This window comes from Homo sapiens, chromosome 3 (assembly GCF_000001405.40).
Source record: "Homo sapiens chromosome 3, GRCh38.p14 Primary Assembly".
Taxonomy (NCBI): domain Eukaryota; kingdom Metazoa; phylum Chordata; class Mammalia; order Primates; family Hominidae; genus Homo; species Homo sapiens.
Genome location: NC_000003.12, coordinates 141328514 through 141345157, shown reverse-complemented (window position 1 = coordinate 141345157; position 16644 = coordinate 141328514). Strand labels below are relative to the sequence as shown.

At 43.7% G+C, this 16644-nt stretch overlaps 1 protein-coding gene across 5 annotated transcripts in view, besides 1 other annotated feature; it reads right to left on the bottom strand.

Moving 5' to 3' along the window:
• The window catches only part of ZBTB38 (zinc finger and BTB domain containing 38), a 125607-nt gene that overhangs the window by 104635 nt on the left and 4328 nt on the right, over positions 1-16644 (bottom strand). The gene's annotated exons all lie outside the window — the stretch shown is intronic.
• Positions 7748-7827: an enhancer, noted in NCBI's record as "active region_20623". NCBI's record gives its function as "activates an Ori minimal core promoter by ATAC-STARR-seq in GM12878 lymphoblastoid cells {active_cell/tissue: GM12878}" and the evidence as "EXISTENCE:reporter gene assay evidence [ECO:0000049][PMID:35858748]".

Here is a 16644-nt window from a genome sequence, read left to right as displayed (position 1 = left end):
ACACAAAGTCTTCTCCAGCTTCTTTTGCAAAAGTTCTTGGTAGTTCGTGTGAGAGAGGTTGATGACTCTTAGCAATATACAGTTAAGCTTAGATCTCTAGATGACAAGAAGTGTCTGGAAATACCATAGGCCTGCCTCCCCTCTCAGGAAGATGAGAATTTCCTTAATTTCTTCCCTAGGATTAACAGCAGGACTTCTTGCAATAGCAGCTGTGATAGACAGAATAATGGACCCCCAAAGATGTCCAGGTCCTAATTCCAAGATCATGTGAATATGTTACCTTCCATGGCAAGAGAGGCTTTGCAGATGTGATTAAGATTATGGACCTTGAGGTGGGGAAATTATCCTGCAAGATCTGAATAAGCATAATATAATCTTGAGTCCTTAAAAGCAGAGGACCTTTCCCAATTGTAGTTAGTGAGAGAGAGACATGACTATGAAGAAAGGTCAGAGAAATGCACAATGCTGGCTTTGAAGATGGAAGAGCTGGGTGCAGTGGCTCAAGCCTGTAATCTCAGCACTTTTGGAGGCCAAGGCAGGAGGATCACTTGAGCCCAGGAGTTTGAGATCAGCCTGGGAAACACAGTGAGACCCCACATCTACAAAAAATAAAAACAAAAAATTAGCCAGGTGTGGTGGCATGTGCCTGTGGTCCCAGTTATTCAGGAGGCTGAGGCAAGAGGATCATTTCAGCCTTGGAGGTTGAGGCTGTAGTGAGTTGTGATTGTTCCACTGCACTCCAATCTGGGTGACAGAGCAAGACCATGTCTCAAAATAAATAAATAAATAGAAGAAGAAGATGGAGGAAGGAAGCCATGAGCCAAGGAATCAGGACCGTCTCTAGAAGCTGGGAAGGGTAGGGAAAGGGATTCTCCCCTAAGCCTCCAGAAGGAAACACAGAGCTGTAGACACTTTGATTTTAGCCCAGTGGGACCCATGATGGACTTCTGACCTATGGAACTGTAAGATAACTGTGTGTGTTAAGCCACCAAGTTTTCGGTGACTTACTACAGCAGCAACAGAAAACAGCAGCCAACTAAAACATAGCCAAAGTGGACCACAGTTGGAGGTCTCCTGTCCTGCTGTTACTAGAATACAAAGTACACCTGGGTTCCTAAGGTAACCAGGAGACATGGAATCGATTTTGTGCTTTGGACATATTGATTAGATGCAAGTCCCTCAAAATTCCCAGCATCAATGTTTTCTCTCTTCTACTGTTAGAGGCCCTTGGGTGAAAAAGTTTGAGAATCACTGACAAGAGAATGGTGTCCTCATCCGTGTCATTTACAAAATGGAACACGTCTCTGGGGCACAAAGACAAAGGAGAAAACAACACGAATCTGAGCCATGGAACTGTCTCAAGATGATATGATGTTCGAAGCAGATTTTTGTGGATATTTCTTTATCCAGAAGGAGAGTTGTACTTTGATCCATGCCTGGTCCTGGCTCTGTTAAGATTGCTCAAGATATTGGTCCATTTTCTGTGTCGGTCCCAGCTTGCCTGGTATCTTCAACCAACAGGGGCTGAGGATAATTATCCTGGATTGATCTGTACCTCTGCTGGTATAGATCAGGAAACAAAGCTCCTGTGTGGATGGGAAGACTATATATGCTGTGATAGCCTTAGTCACCCTCTTTGAGAATTTGTGGGAGAAACATTCTACCTGTTTGATCCCATTTGCTCAGAGTCCTTCTCCTCCCCCAACCTCCAAGGGTCCTTGTATCTGCTTGTTGACAATCCCCACCTCCCTGGCTCTCATGACCTAACACCATGCTTGGAAGTCCCCAAATGATACTACTGTCCTGCTCCCTTGAATGGAAACCCCAAGGGATTCTGAGGTGGTTCATAAGAGTAAACTGGAGTGTTGGTTTAACCAATACTCCCGTGGTCTTGGTTGCTGTGAATCACCCATCTTTTCCCTGAGTGGGGAAGGATTACCACTTTTACCCCAGATGGCTTTCCTGTTGCCATTCATTCACTTCCTTGCCCTAAACTTCCTCCGATCCAGCAAGCCACATGGCTGCTGTTCTCTTGGATCAATCCTGACAATACAGTATGCAATGCCCAAAATGTATGAAACTGATGGGAAATACTTTGCAGCTTTGTTTCTGATGATATATTCAGTGTCATAAACATATAGACTTGCAGACATTTGATCTCAATGGAGATGGAACACAGCTCCATATATTGACATTGCAGGTTTGTTCGTGCTCATTCAGTTTTCTTCACATCAAATAATCCCCTTCCACCCCTAGCTTAAAAGACCTGTCCTCTCCCCTTCCTCAGCTCTTGTTCATAATTTTTCTTCTCTCCCTCCCTGAATCATTATTTCTCTCAGCAACACCTTCCATCTTTAGCTTCTTAGTGGCTTCTTCCCACTGCCTGTACACAAACCCAGATCTGTGCATTAAAAAAAAAAAAAAAAAAAAAAGATCATGGGACCTTATTGCCCTCTCTAGTTTTTTTATTTCGGGCTAAACTTCTTGCACGAGGGTTTGTGTCCACTCTCCAGCCTCACCTCAAATCCCCTACAATCTGGGTGTGGCACCCGCTTCTCAACCGCAGCTATGTTCTCAAGTGTCACCAGGGTTCTCCTAACTGCCTAATCCAGTGGCTTCTTTACAGGTTTTGTTTGTGTGGTTGATTGCTTCAGATTTTCCAAAGTTTTCAAATGGACAAAAAACTAGAGAGAATAGTATAATTAATAAACGTATATACTTGTTGCTTAGATTTAACCATTGTTACTTTTTTTTTTTTTTTTTTTGAGACAGAGTCTCACTGGCTCTGTTGAGATTGCTCAAGATATTGGTCCATTTTCTGTGTTGGTCCCAGCTTGCCTGGTATCTTCCATCTTGCCAGGCTGGAGTGCAGTGGCGTGACCTTGGCTCACTGCAACCTCTGCCTCCCGGGTTCAAGCGATTCTCCTGCCTCAGCCTCCTGAGTAGCCGGGACTATAGGCACGCACCACCACGCCTGGCCAATTTTTGTATTTTTAGTAGACACAGGGTTTCACCATGTTGGCCAGGATAGTCTCGATCTCCTGAACTCGTGATCCACCTGCCTTGGCCTCTCAAAGTGCTGGGATTACAGGCGTGAGCCACCGTACCCGGCCCCATTGTTACTATTTTGCCTTGTTTCATCCATTTTATCTGCTAAATTATTGTTCATTATAGACATTCTAACGTTTCACCCTGAAATAATTCAGTATGCTTTTTTTTAAAAAAGTGAACATCTTCCTACACACCCATAGTATCATATCAAACCAAGAAAATTAACAACAAATCTGTCGTATCATCTTATACACACATTCCACATTCCTATTTCCTCAATTATTCTGGCAATGTCTTCACAGCTGGTGTGTTCAGATTGCAGTCATGGATGTCCACTGTGTTTGGTGGCTGTGTCTTGGTTTTCACTGATGACATCACTCTAGCATTTGCCTCTGCTATGCAGTTCCTTCTTGGAAGACTTTCCCTTGGTTTCCATAATATTAACTCTTCTTTCTCTTAATCTTCTACTCCTGACCATCTGTTTTCTTCACAGACCTTCCTTTGCTACTTGTCTTTTCAGTATTGGTGCTTCACAGGATTCTGCCCTTGGCTCTCCATTCTCACCCTGAACTTGCTTCCCAGGCAATTCTCCTGAATAATATTCCATTGTATATATGGATACCATCTATGGTGTGGCTACACCACATTTTGTTTACCCATTTATCAGTTGATGGACGTTCGGTTTATTTCTACTTTTTTGGCTATTATGAATAATGCTGGTATGAACAGCATTTGTATACAGTCATGTGTATTGTATACAAGTTTTTGTGTAGACATATGTTTTAATTTATCTTGGGTATATACCTAGGAGTGGAATTGCTGAGTCATGTGATAACTTTATGTTTAACATTCTAGGAAACTGCCAAACTGTTTCCCAAGCAGCTGTACTGTTTTACAGTCCCACCAGCAATGTAGAAGGGCTCTGATTTCTCCACATCTTCACCAGCACTTGCTACTGTCTGTCTTTTTTTATTATAGCCATCATAGAGGATGTGAAGTGGTATCTTACTGTGGTTTTAATTTGTATTTCCCTGATGGTTAATTATTTGAACATCTTTTCATGCGCTTATTAACCACTTGTCTATCTTTCTCTTTCTTTCTTTCTTTCTTCTTTCTCTTTCTTTCTTTCTTTCTTTCTTTCTTTCTTTCTTTCTTTCCTTCTTTCTTTTCTTTTCTTTTTTCCTTTCCTTTTCTTTTCTTTTCTTTTTTGGAGACAGAGTCTTGCTCTGTCGCCCAGGCTGGAGTGCAGTTGCGCAATCTTAGCTCACTGCAACCTCCACCTCCTGGGTTCATGTCATTCTCCTGCCTCAGCCTCCCAAGTAGCTGGGACCACAGGTGCCCGCCACCACACCCGGCTAATTTTTTGTATTTTTAGTAGAGATGGGGTTTCACCATGTCAGCCAGGATGGTCTTGATCTGCTGACCTCGTGATCCGCCTGCCTCGGCCTCCCAAAGTGCTGGGATTACAGGCGTGAGCCACCACGCCCGGCCAACCACTTGTATATTTTCTTTGGAGAAATGTCTATTTAGATCTTTTGCCAATTTTTCACTTGAGTTATCTGTCTTTTTTATTATTGAGTTGAAGAGTTTTTATATATTCTAAATACAAGTCTCTTTTCAGAAATGTGATTTGCAAAATTTTCTCCCCTTGTAGGAATTGTCTTCTTAGTCGTCTTTATACCCATAGTTTCTAGCACAATAGGCATTCAATAATTAGTTATTGAATTCAATTGAATCTCTCATAGGTCTTTTAGGCAAAGTCTCTAATTATCTTTTTTACTATCCCCTCAACTTAACTTCCTTTCTTAGACTATAAGAAAAATACAAATAAAAAGGAAGAATATGAACGCTTTGGACTGAATATTATTGAAAACTCTAAAGTATACATGGTTTTTAAACACTAGGTTTTAACAAATTACTTAACTTCTCCATGCCTCAGTTTCCTCAGTTGTAAATTTGAGAGAGGTTTTGGAATTTGTACTTGGTCATCTCTAAGTTTGCGTCCACTCCAACATTTAATAAGTTTAACAATAACAAAAGTCAAGACCATTCCTGGTGGCATGCAGGGCTCGGAGCAAACCACTTAGAATAATCACTGTGTCTGCCTTGCTTGCTGGTATACTCCAAGCACAAAGTGCTGTGACCTACCCATAATAAGTAATAAGCAAAATAGTTTTACTTAATTCCCATTAAGCTCATTAAATCCCACACCTGTAAAGATCATCAAGACGTCAACAACTCCCAAATTAGTATCTCTAGCCCGGACTCTTTTCTTGATGAATTCATTTGCTGATTCAACACTTCTATCTGCAGGTCTAACAGGCCTCACAATTGTAACATGTCAAAAATAGAATTCTTGATTCCCCACTCCTCCTCGAATTTGGTCCCCACTCGCCACTCCACGCCAGGCTTTCTAATTTCAGTAAATGGCACCACCTCCAGTGAGACGCCCAGGTAAAAAGGTTGGAATCATCCTTAACTGCTTTTCTTCTTTAAAAGTTATTCAATTCATCAAAAAGCTTTATCAGCTCTACCTTCGAAACACACACAAATTCAACCACTTCTTACCATCTTACCTTCTCCACAGCTTACTGCTCTGGGCCAATCTATGACCTCTTCCCTGGATTTTTATAGTAGTCTCCTACTTTGTGTCCTTAAATCTACTCTTCCCCACCTACCAACATTTCTCCACATAGGAGCCAGGATGATTCTCTAAAAACTTAAACAAGATCATACTACTCTTCTGTTCAAAATGCTCCAAAGGCTTCCTATCACATTCAGAATCAACCCGTGGAGTTGCTGGTGGAGTGGCATGTTAGGCCTAGAACAGTTCAAGTGAACTGGGTCTGGCTTCCTCTCTGATCTTACCTCCTATCTCTCTCTGCCTTGGTGACTCCAATATGACCTTGTCAGCCTTTTTATGTTTCCTGAACATATCCAGAATATCCTGCCTTAGAGCCTTTGCACCTACTGATCTCTGCCTGCAACACTGGTTCACTTGAGATTTGGCATGGCCCACTCTCTTGCTTCATTCAGGTCTCTGCTTGAATGTCACAACTCCAGGGAGGTCTTATCCAACACCCTTTCTAAAAAGGCCCTTCTGCAACTCATTGTCCCTTTATTATGCTTTATGGTCATTCATAGTACTTAATGTTCCCTAAAAGATGTTCATTCATAGTACTTAATGTTCCCTAAAAGATTGTTTGTTTACCTATTCTGTCCCCCACTAGAATGTCAGGTCTAGAATCTAGAAGGGCAAAGATCTCATCTTTGTTTTATTTTCTTTTTCTTCCAACTTTCCAACTTTCTTTTTCGGTTCAGGGGGTACAATGTGCAGATTTGTTACATAGGCAAATTGCATGTCACAGGGGTTTGGCGTGTAGATTATTTCATCACCCAAGTAACAAGCATAGTACCTGATAGGAAGTTTTTTGACCCTCACCCTTCTCCTACCCTCCACTGTCAAGTAGACCCTGTTGTCTATTGTTCTCCTCTTTGTGTCCATGTGTACTCAATGTTTAGCTCCCACTTCTAAGTGAGAAAATGCAGCATTTGTTTTTCTGTTCCTGCATGAATTCGCTTAGGATAATGGCCTCCAGCTCTATCCATGTTACTGCAGAGGGCATGATCTCATTCTTTTTATGGCTGCATAGTATTCCATGGTGTCTATGTACCACATTTTCTTTATCCGGTCCACCACTGGTGGGCATTTAGGTTGATTCATGTCTTTGCTATTGTGAATGGTGCTGCGATAAACATGCATCCATGTGTCTTTACAGCAGAACGATTTATATTCCTTTGGGTATTTTTTTTGAGTATAGTAATAGGATTGCTGGGTGGAGTGGCAGTTCTGTTTTAAGTTCTCTGGGAAATCACCAAACTGCTTTCCACAGCAGATGAACTAGTTTACACTCCCACCAGCAGTGTATAAGTGTTCCCTTTTCTCTGCAACCTCACCAGCATCTGTTATTTTTAGACTTTTTAATAATAGCCAGTCTGATGGTGCAAGGTGGTATCTCACTGTGGTTATTTGCATTTATCTAATGATTGGTGATGTTGAACATTTTTTCATATGCTTGTTGGCTTTGTTTACTACCTTGTTTACTGATGTATTCTTAGTGCTGGGTACCATTTCCAGCACATGATAGACATTCAATGAATATTGTTGAATAAATAAATAAATTAGTGATAATTATTATCTGAGAGTAAGCCCTGGGTTTGTGTCACTTACTAACTGATTTGCCTTAGACAAATTATGTAATCTCCGCAAGTCTCAGTTTTCTTCCCTGCAAAAATGAGCTAGTAATACCTCCTGCAAAGGACTGTTGTGAGGACTTGAGATAAGGGATGAAGGTGCCTCATATTAAGTGCTCAATTCATAGACCTGTAATTACCCATAAAAGTAAACATCCTCCTTTACACACTTGGTTGAAGGACAAAGGGGATCATCAAACCTGCTTCCTTAGAACCACAATTTATCAACTAAAAATGCCATGCCAGAAGCTAAAAAAGGAAATGAATCCATTTCAGTGCAGTAGGCTCAGAGATCTGTGTTTACACAATGCCAGAATACCCAGGCTTAGAGATACTATGTTCAAATTCAAGTCAGGCCACTGCTTTGTTCTGTGGACTGCGGCAGGGTTGGAGGGGATGATTCAAAATGACCTCAGCTTTTGTCTAATTTGGTCCTGTGACCAGACCACAGGCAACGCCTCATCCAGGGAATTGATTTCCTTTGCAGCTCTTTGCTAAGAGGCCCATCAACATGATAAAATGCTGTGCAGTCATTACATATTACTCGGCTGTAGGATGAGGCATTTCTACGTGTTTGGACATGGAAAGACCTTCAACAGGTATTGTGGAGTAAAAAATTCAAGTTGCAGATGAAATACACAGCACAAACACACACCAACAACACTCCGTTATACTTGTATGCAGGTTCCTACATCTGTATATAAACATAAAGCAAAGGGTCTTGAAGGTAGAAACCATGTCAGTTACTCTCACTTCCTCAGAGAAGCGGGGAGTGACTAGAACTGGAAGTGGGCGTCAAAGGAGACTTCAGCTTTATCTATAGGATTTGTTTGCAAAGAGAATGTGTTATGTACGTAATTAGAAACTATTTTTTTAAAGCTGCTCAAGCAAGATGATGCTAACACACCCCATTTGAAGTAAAATGAAGGAATTTACTTTTCCCTGCCTAGTGATTCTCAAATGGGCAGTCTCACCCATCAGAAGGTGTTTGGAAATGCCTGGGGGCATTTTCTGGATGTCACAAATTCTCCTGGGGGCTACTGGCATTTAGTTCCCCAGGGACGGGGGATGCTAAATGTCCTACCATGTGGGAAAATCCCACACCACATAATAGTATCTCTGCCCAGAGGCCGACCGTGGCCCTAGTGAGAAACCGCACAACACAAAAATTTGTGTTTGTTGTACAAGTAAATTCATCTATTACTGCCAGGTGTGGTAGCTCACACCTGTAATCCCAGCACTTTGGGAGGCTGAGGTGGAAGGATTGCTTGAGGCCAGGAGTTCAAGACCACCCTGGCCAACACAGTGAGACTCCATCTCTATAATAAATAAATGAATTAATTAAAAAAAGGAAAACTGTATATTTAAAAAAATCTATTACATACATGTAAGAGGTGTTTTTCTGTCTTTGGTTTGAACTACTGAGATGCCCAACACATGTTCTGTCTCTCTATATAAAATAGTAAATTTTATCACTGATGGTCAAGAGAAGCAAATAGAAAACCATGCCAGTTGCTCTTGGTGGGAAGCCTGGGTTTTAATGGAGCTATTGGCATGGGTTTGACATCTCCCATTTAGAGTATGTGAATATTTCTGAGAATAAAGCTCATCCAGGCACCAGCCAGTGCCTTTGTACTTTGCTGATACTTTAAGACAAACGTCCCATCGACCAGCAGTCAGGCAAGACTGAGAGCCTTCCAAGTAAAGTTGGGAGGGTCCCTTCTCCCATGGTTAGCAGTTCCAGCACAGGACTGTCTGCTTTCAGTCTGCTAGTAGTCTGCTTCACACTACTGGCTCTTAGAAAGCAGCTTTCAACTCACAGTAGTAAGAGAGAGAAAGGTGATGACAGGCAAAATGAAAAGAATATATGATATTTTCCCCTTCAATTTCATACCCTTTGACACTTGTGGTTCATACATTCAACACATATTTACTGAGCATTCTACTATGTGTCAGCATTGTGCTAGGTGCTGGGGTGTAGTAGAGGATGAGACATAAATGCTTACATTCTAGTGGAGAAGGCATAATAAATAAACAGATACACATAAATCAGGTCATTTTAAACAGTGGTTACTATTGTGATGAAACAGCATGCGGATGTGATTGATAGAAACTGGTGGGACCAACATGTCATGGAGAGTTCAGCAGAGGTGCCTCTGGGAGGTGATCTGAGGCTAGCTGGGCCCTGTTGTGGGGAATGATAATTGTGCCATCAGTGGCCAAGGCAGCAGCCACGGAAGGCCTGTGCCTGTTCCTGTCTCTTCCAGCCCAGCCCAGGGCATCATGCTGCCTGAAACAGCAGATTCAGTCCAGATCTTGTAGGTTATCTGTGCTCCAGGGCTGGGAAAAGTTATGAGGAACATTCACACTTCTTATTTTGTTTTCCAGCCATCTAAGCCCAGGCTTTCAGCTGAACTCAGGCCAGGATTTCAGCTGTATCTAAGGAAGTTGATTTCATTTGTTCTAGAGGTATAAGACTAGAGTTTACTTGTGGATAATAGGCATGGGACTCTAAAAATTACTGTTACTTAAAAACACTTGTATGGCCATTACTTTGTATCAGACACAGTTCTAAACACTACAAATATTAAGTCATTTAGTGCTCGCAACAAATCTACATAACACGAGCAGACAACTATTATCCTCAGTTTATGCACGAGGGACACTAAGGCTGTTTCTCTCACAAAGGCCTTCCAACCAAGCACCCTTTCCAGGGATATGCAGTGTGGTTCTGGCTGACCGGTAGCACCAGCATTGAGTGGGGCAGACCTGGCAGTGGTGACGGCAGCAGAAGCGGTAGTGTCGGCAGCAGAGGCGGTAGTGTCAGACATGCAGATTCTTGACCTGCCCCAGAGCTACTGAACCAGAATCTGTGCTCTGCAGGTGATTCTGATGGATGGCCAAGTTTAAGGACCAGAGATCTAGTCCATTTTTTCATTTTTAGAAAGATGATCTGAAAGATTAGCCTTCCATATCTAGCTAATTGTTCAAAATCAGGTGTTTTAATTTTATGCAGCCTGTCTCCTTCTTTGTTAAAGCTCACTTCTCAGGTAGAGGAACTGGGCACAGCAGGGTTAGAATCAACTCGTTAATCAGGGGTCATTACAGCAGGATGTAGCGCATGCAGGGGGCTAGGATATGTGGTGCCGGGGGCTGGGGAAGGTATAGGGAGAGGCACTGCAGACCACAGGACAGTCCCTGCCTGAGAGAGTATCTCATCCCCATGTGCGAGAAGGGGAGAGGGACAGACAGGGGTGCTGTCCTCTTATGGTGACATCCCATGTACAGCTAACCTAAGGCAATTTAACAATATATCCTTCCCAGAGAGAAAGGAAGGGAGAAGGAAGGAAAGGAAGGAAGGAAGGAAGAAAGGAAAGAAGGAAGGAAGGAAGGAAGGAAGAAAGGAAAGAAGGAAGGAAGGAAGGAAGGAAGGAAGGAAGGAAGGAAAGAAGGAAGGAAGGAAGGAAAAATGGAGGGAGGGAGGAAAGAAGGAAGGCAGGGAGGCGATTTAATGTTGAAAGCATCCCCCCTCACATTCCCATGAGAAGATGCCTCAGAGAGAACCTGCATTTCCCTGAGGTTCTAGGTTACCATGGGCCTCTTTGGCACATAGCTTTTTTTTTTTTCTTTTAAATACCTGAGAAGGGATCTAAAGATTTTTCATTAAACATGATCCTGAATGCAAACCAACCACATTGCTTGGTTGTCAGCCAAAAACACATGGTCTGTCTAGTGCTAGAAGAAAATGGCTATATTAGGCTTCCTGAGAGATGTATGCGTCCCATTCTTTATGGGTGATTCAAAGGATTCTCAGGAGACATTTTGATTCCATGTATTTCCCTGTGTGTGCTGACTTTAGACACTACCTTTTATGTAAGAGGCAACCACACTGTTTATGAAAGTCTATTTTCTGACTTTCCATGTTGTCAAAGCTGAAAAATTGGCCAACCAGATTCCACCCTAAGCTGTAAGATCCACACTGTGAGGGAGAAACTAGACTGCAGCCCTAGGAGGAAGCAAGAACTTACAATCATTGGTGGAAGCTGGCTATGAAAATATCCACTGCAATATTACTGTGCTTACACAGTGAGTGTGTGCTCCAAAACCCAACAAATTGCAGGGCCAGATGTCTCTGGGTCCATGAGGGTGCTAGGCAAGGGGTCAATGCAAGGCTGGGCACTCTTTCCCCACCCACACTGCCCTTGTCTTGGCAGCCTGGGCTCTACTTGTCCACCCTCTGCAGCCAGCCCTGTTGGTGCTTCTTGATCCTGTGGTAACCCCTTCCTCTCACTGATTAGGCATGGAGTGGACCCAGCAGGGGCTGTGCCTGGTCAACCTGAGCCTCCATCTCACAAATGTGATCTGAGTGGCAGGCCATCTGTGGCTGGCCATCCAGATAGCAGCAGGCTTTGGAGCCATGAGGTCTTGTGGACTCTGGGCTGGTAGATGTCAAGCAGAGACAGGCAGACAGAAGCAGGGATGAAGTGGGCCTGGAGTGAGCAACCAACCATGTGAGTGACTCTCCCGTGCTGGTTTCCTGGGCCTGGCTGAGTCTGACTTGCTGTCCTAGGTCTCCTTTACCTATAACCTCACACCAACCCCAGTCCCCTATTAACTGAGCCAGTTGGCATTGGCTTCTGTCTCCTGTATCCGAACAAGGCTTTACCGGAGCAAACAATGAGTCTGGGCTTTACACTGTCCCCTGGGGCCCTCAAAGGCCTGCTAAGGATTTTACAAAGGAGCCAGATCTCCAACCCCTTGTAGAACTCACTGTGGAGCTTCAATCACTTGTGACCTCTTGAGACCCAAAATGCAAACTTCTAGAATTTAGATGGTCTTGGCAAGTTCATTGTTTAAGAAACCCCTTTCTACAGGACAGGTATTTTTTTCCTGGTGCCATGTAAAATGCCCACACTTGTTCTGTATCCTTCCTTTTCTGATGAGTTCTCTGTGCCACTGAATGTCGGGTATGAATTTCCCCTAGTTTATCAATTAGGTGTAGAAACAATAACAATAGTTTCCAGTAGTTTTCAAATTTTCAGCACAGAATCTTTTTTCTTAAGCTAATGTTACTTGAAACCTCAGTACAGAAGATATATAAGCAGAGCTGCCCTCTGGGTTTCTTCTTTCGGCATCCCTCCCCCACTCCATCTGCAGGCTCTTCTAGAAGCCAAGGGCGCCAGGAACAAGCATTCAGGGCATTGCTCAGGGCGGCAGATCGTTTCATCCTTATCTACAGCAAATATCATGGAGCACCCATTACATATTATAGCCCCTGACAAGCTCTGGAAATACAGCAAAGTACAAGACACATCCCCAACATAAAGGAGAGGTGGCCGGGTGAGAGCCTGTGCCAAGTTTGGAGGTGCAGCTAGGGCTGCAGGGCTCAGAGCTGAGAGGAGTTGCCAGGTGCTAGAGTAGTTGGGGAAGGGGCCACTGCCACCCAGTATGTGGGACTAGAGCAGAATTTCAATAGGTTTACATAAAAAGAGAAGGGGTGTGTAGACAAGACACAGACAAGAGGAGAAATGTGAGCAAGGGTGGAACTGTCTGGGTGCACTCAGGGAATGGCCAGCTGATGAATTTGGTTGGAGTAGCAGGGCATTCTCAATGGGAAAATAGGAAGGGGCCAGAATTTGAATGACAGGCTAGGAAAATTCAACTCATTTCAGAGGCCATCAAGAGCCCTGAATGATTCAACTTAGGAAAAAAGTATTAGGATGAAAAACAAGATAAGCACAAAAATGAGACATCAAGCTGCTCAGTTATGGTGTTTGACGTGGATCTGCAGGAAAGGCCAAGGGTCAGAAAAAGAAACGTTGGTGACACAATTCCCCGCTGCTGACCCTCTTCCCCAAAGGGTCACACGTCTTCCAGACTGAAGGCAAGTGCATTATCTTCCACTTATTTGTCAGGCATCAGAAAGCACAGTGACTCATTTGAAGTCCCCAGCCGAGGACTCCCAGGGGCCCTGACTCACAGGCCTTCCCAGAAGAATCCTGTCCAAGCACAGATGCATGATCACCAGACACTTGTTCATCGGCTGGTGAAAGCAGCTTCCTGGCTCGGTCAGCGCTTCTCAGATCTTTCCTCTTCTGCTCAAACCCATGAATGGGAAACACCTTAACTCTCTCCCAGCCTCAGGCTCAGCCTCAGCTTACTATGACACACTTGCAGCCTAAGGAATACAGAGAAGAATGGCCCCATGTTGAAGTCTCTCCTAAAACCAGCAAAGTGAACACAAACACCTACACAAAAATACAGTAATTCCTTCTCATTTGTGTGTGAGCAATAAAAAAAAAACAAAAAACAAAAAACAACCCAAACACAGTCATTCTTGAAGCAGGCATAAACATCAGTGCTGTACAGGTGAAAGCTGTACTCAGGCTACAGACTTCCATGGGGACGACAGTGTAAGACATTCCCTCACTGGACACAATTTGATGGTGACATATTAGGGCTAGCCAGCTCTGTCTCTGTCTCTCTCTCCTACATAATCAGTAGCCTGAATTTGTCCAGTAGTTGCCTAGAGTGAAATAGATTCTCCAGGTGGGAACATAACCAAGGACTTTGCCCAATCACCCCAGAGCTCTTAGGCATGTTATTCCATAAGGTACACGTTCACCTGTGTCACACATTGCATAGTGCATGCTTCAACAGAAGAGTAAATGAGATATTTAGAGTTGATGTCATGACTCATGAGATGGAGTTGGAATTGAAGATCTTATAAGCAAAAGTTCAAAGAGATGCTGCTAGTAATAATATTTGAGCTGACAGAGGAACTCTACATATATCTTCTCTTTGATCATTATAAGGATCTGGAGACATGGGGAAAGTACATGTCTGTTTTCTGTTGCTTATAACAGAATACTTAAAACTGGGTATTTTATAAGGAAAGAAATGTATTTCCTTTAGTTATGGAGGCCAGGAAGTTCCAGGTTGAGGGGTCACATCTGGTGAGAGCCTTCTTGCTGGTGGGGACTCTCTGCAGAGTCCTGGGGTAGCACAAGGCATCGCATGGCGAGGTTCTCTTCCTCTTCTTGTAAAACCACCAGTTCCCCTCCTGTGATAACCCTTTAACCATTAATCCATGAATGGATTAATCCACTTTTGAGGGCAGAGCCCTCATGATTCAATCAACTCTTAAAGGCCTCACCTCTCAATACTGCCCCATTGGGGATTAAGTTTCCACGTGAATTTTGAGGGGAGCATTCAAACCACAGCAGTGCATTTGGGCAGGGTGGCAAGAACAGAAGCATAAAGAGTCTGAGTGTCTGACACAAGGTCCCTGAACAAGGGAGGGCCTGAACACCCTCTCATCCTGGTCCTCTGGTTTCAGAGGCTGTGTTCTTTCCAACAACTCCACAGGGTGGCTGAGAATGACATCATCAGAAAAGGGACACAGAGGGACAAAGACAGCCACCGTACATCCCCCATCAGTGGAGGAAGGCTTTCTGGTGAGTGGGTTGCAATGGACTTGCTAGCACCTTGCTCAGAATTTCCAGGAATCTGTTCCCAAGGCTCTGGGGGGCAAAGGCAGAGGACGTTCCATGGTACCCTTAGTCAGGAGAGCGCATTAATTGCAGCTGCAGCCAGTGACCCAGCACTGATGAGAAAGCTGTCAGCTGAAAGCTGGACCAGACACACTCCCTGAGGCCACTGGCTATAGTCAACACTGGACACGTACACCTCCCAGTGCCCATCATGACTCCAGAGGAAGGAACTCTTCAAAGAACCTCCTGGTGACTGTGCCACCTTTCTTCCACAATAAATATGTCATCTCTCCTTCATTATTTTATATATATAAAATACATGCATACATAAATAAATGTATATAAATTATATGTGATATATATATACAATATATGTAGATATATAAATTTTTTTATAGAGGCAAGGTCTCACTATGTTGCCCAGGCTAGTCTTGAACTCTTGGGCTCAAGCAATCCACCCACCTTGGCCTCCCAAAGTGCTGGGATTACAGGCGTGAGCCACCGTGCCTCACCACCCTTCATTATTTTTCTATTCCAACGAGTTTTCTAAAATTTTCTAATTAAAAAAAAATCCAAACAGTACCAAAAGCTGTACAATGAAAAGCAATAGAGGTTGAAATATAGGATTCTAGTTATTGACACATAAATGTAATGCAGTATCTGGAAACTTCCATTTTACAAGATGAGAAAATTAACCTTCCATTTCTGCTCTCCTCCCCTGTCCCTAACCTCTGGGTCCCTTAATATCACTGCTACATGGCACCACGTTTTATAACTTGTATGTCTTGCCCTAGAAATATAATTCTTTGTGCTTATATACGTTGATTGTTAAAATTAAAAACAAACAAGTAGCATGTATAATACTCTGCTTGTGGCAGTATTATTCTTTCCAGAGGCAAGTGGAGACCCTCAAAGAAGGATGTACAGTCACGAGTCATTAAACGTGTGCCGCTCCGAGGGAAATAAAATTAAGCTGGGAGAAGGATGTGGGAAGGGATGGAGTGATGTATCGAAGTTATTTTTCCTGAGCATGTTGAAGGCATTTCTCTAATTCCTTTCGTTGAATGGCATGAAGGATGGGAGGAACACAGTCAGGGACCTTCCTTCACATACTCATCTATATTTTTGAGCACTGGCCATGTGCTGGGCACTATGCTAAGTGCTTAAGAAGCATATAAAGGATGGTTCTCACCTTCAAGGGGAAAAGACAGGAAAACTAGTGTGCAGAGAGTAAAAGCTCCAAGGAGGCGGGGTTTTTTTCTTTTGTGGCTTGTTCGCTGTTGTATTTGTAGTATTCAGACTAGCCAATTATTGGATGAAAGAATGAGAGCAATGGCAGAGCTATGCACGACTGGGGGACGGGGAGACAGGTAGGGGAGGAGCACCTATGGGAGCACTCAGGAGGAGGCCTGGAGGGCTCAGGGAATGCTCCCAAAGAGAGCTTGGGTTGAATTTTGAAGACCAAGTAGGAGTAGGACATGGGAAAAATTGGGAAAGGGAATCCCCAGTAGTTTGGTGGGAGCAGAAGGTGCGTTTGGGAACATGAAAGGAGATGAGGAGGGAATGACAAGAGGGGAAAGAAGGGCCTTGTGTGCCAGGCAGAGAAGCCTGGCTGCATTCCAGGGGTGACAGAGCGCCTTGGAGGGTTGTCAGCACAGGAGTGGTGTGGTTGGGCTGTGTTTTAGAGACGCTCTGTGTGGGGAGTGTGGGGGTTACCCAGGGGCTGGAGGAGTCCAGGTAGGGGCTCTGTGATGAGACATGATAAGAAGCTGGCTAAGGTGCTGAGGTTGGAGGGAAGGGCCTAGACCCAGGAAACATTTAGGAGGTAGAGTGTGCACAGTTTGGT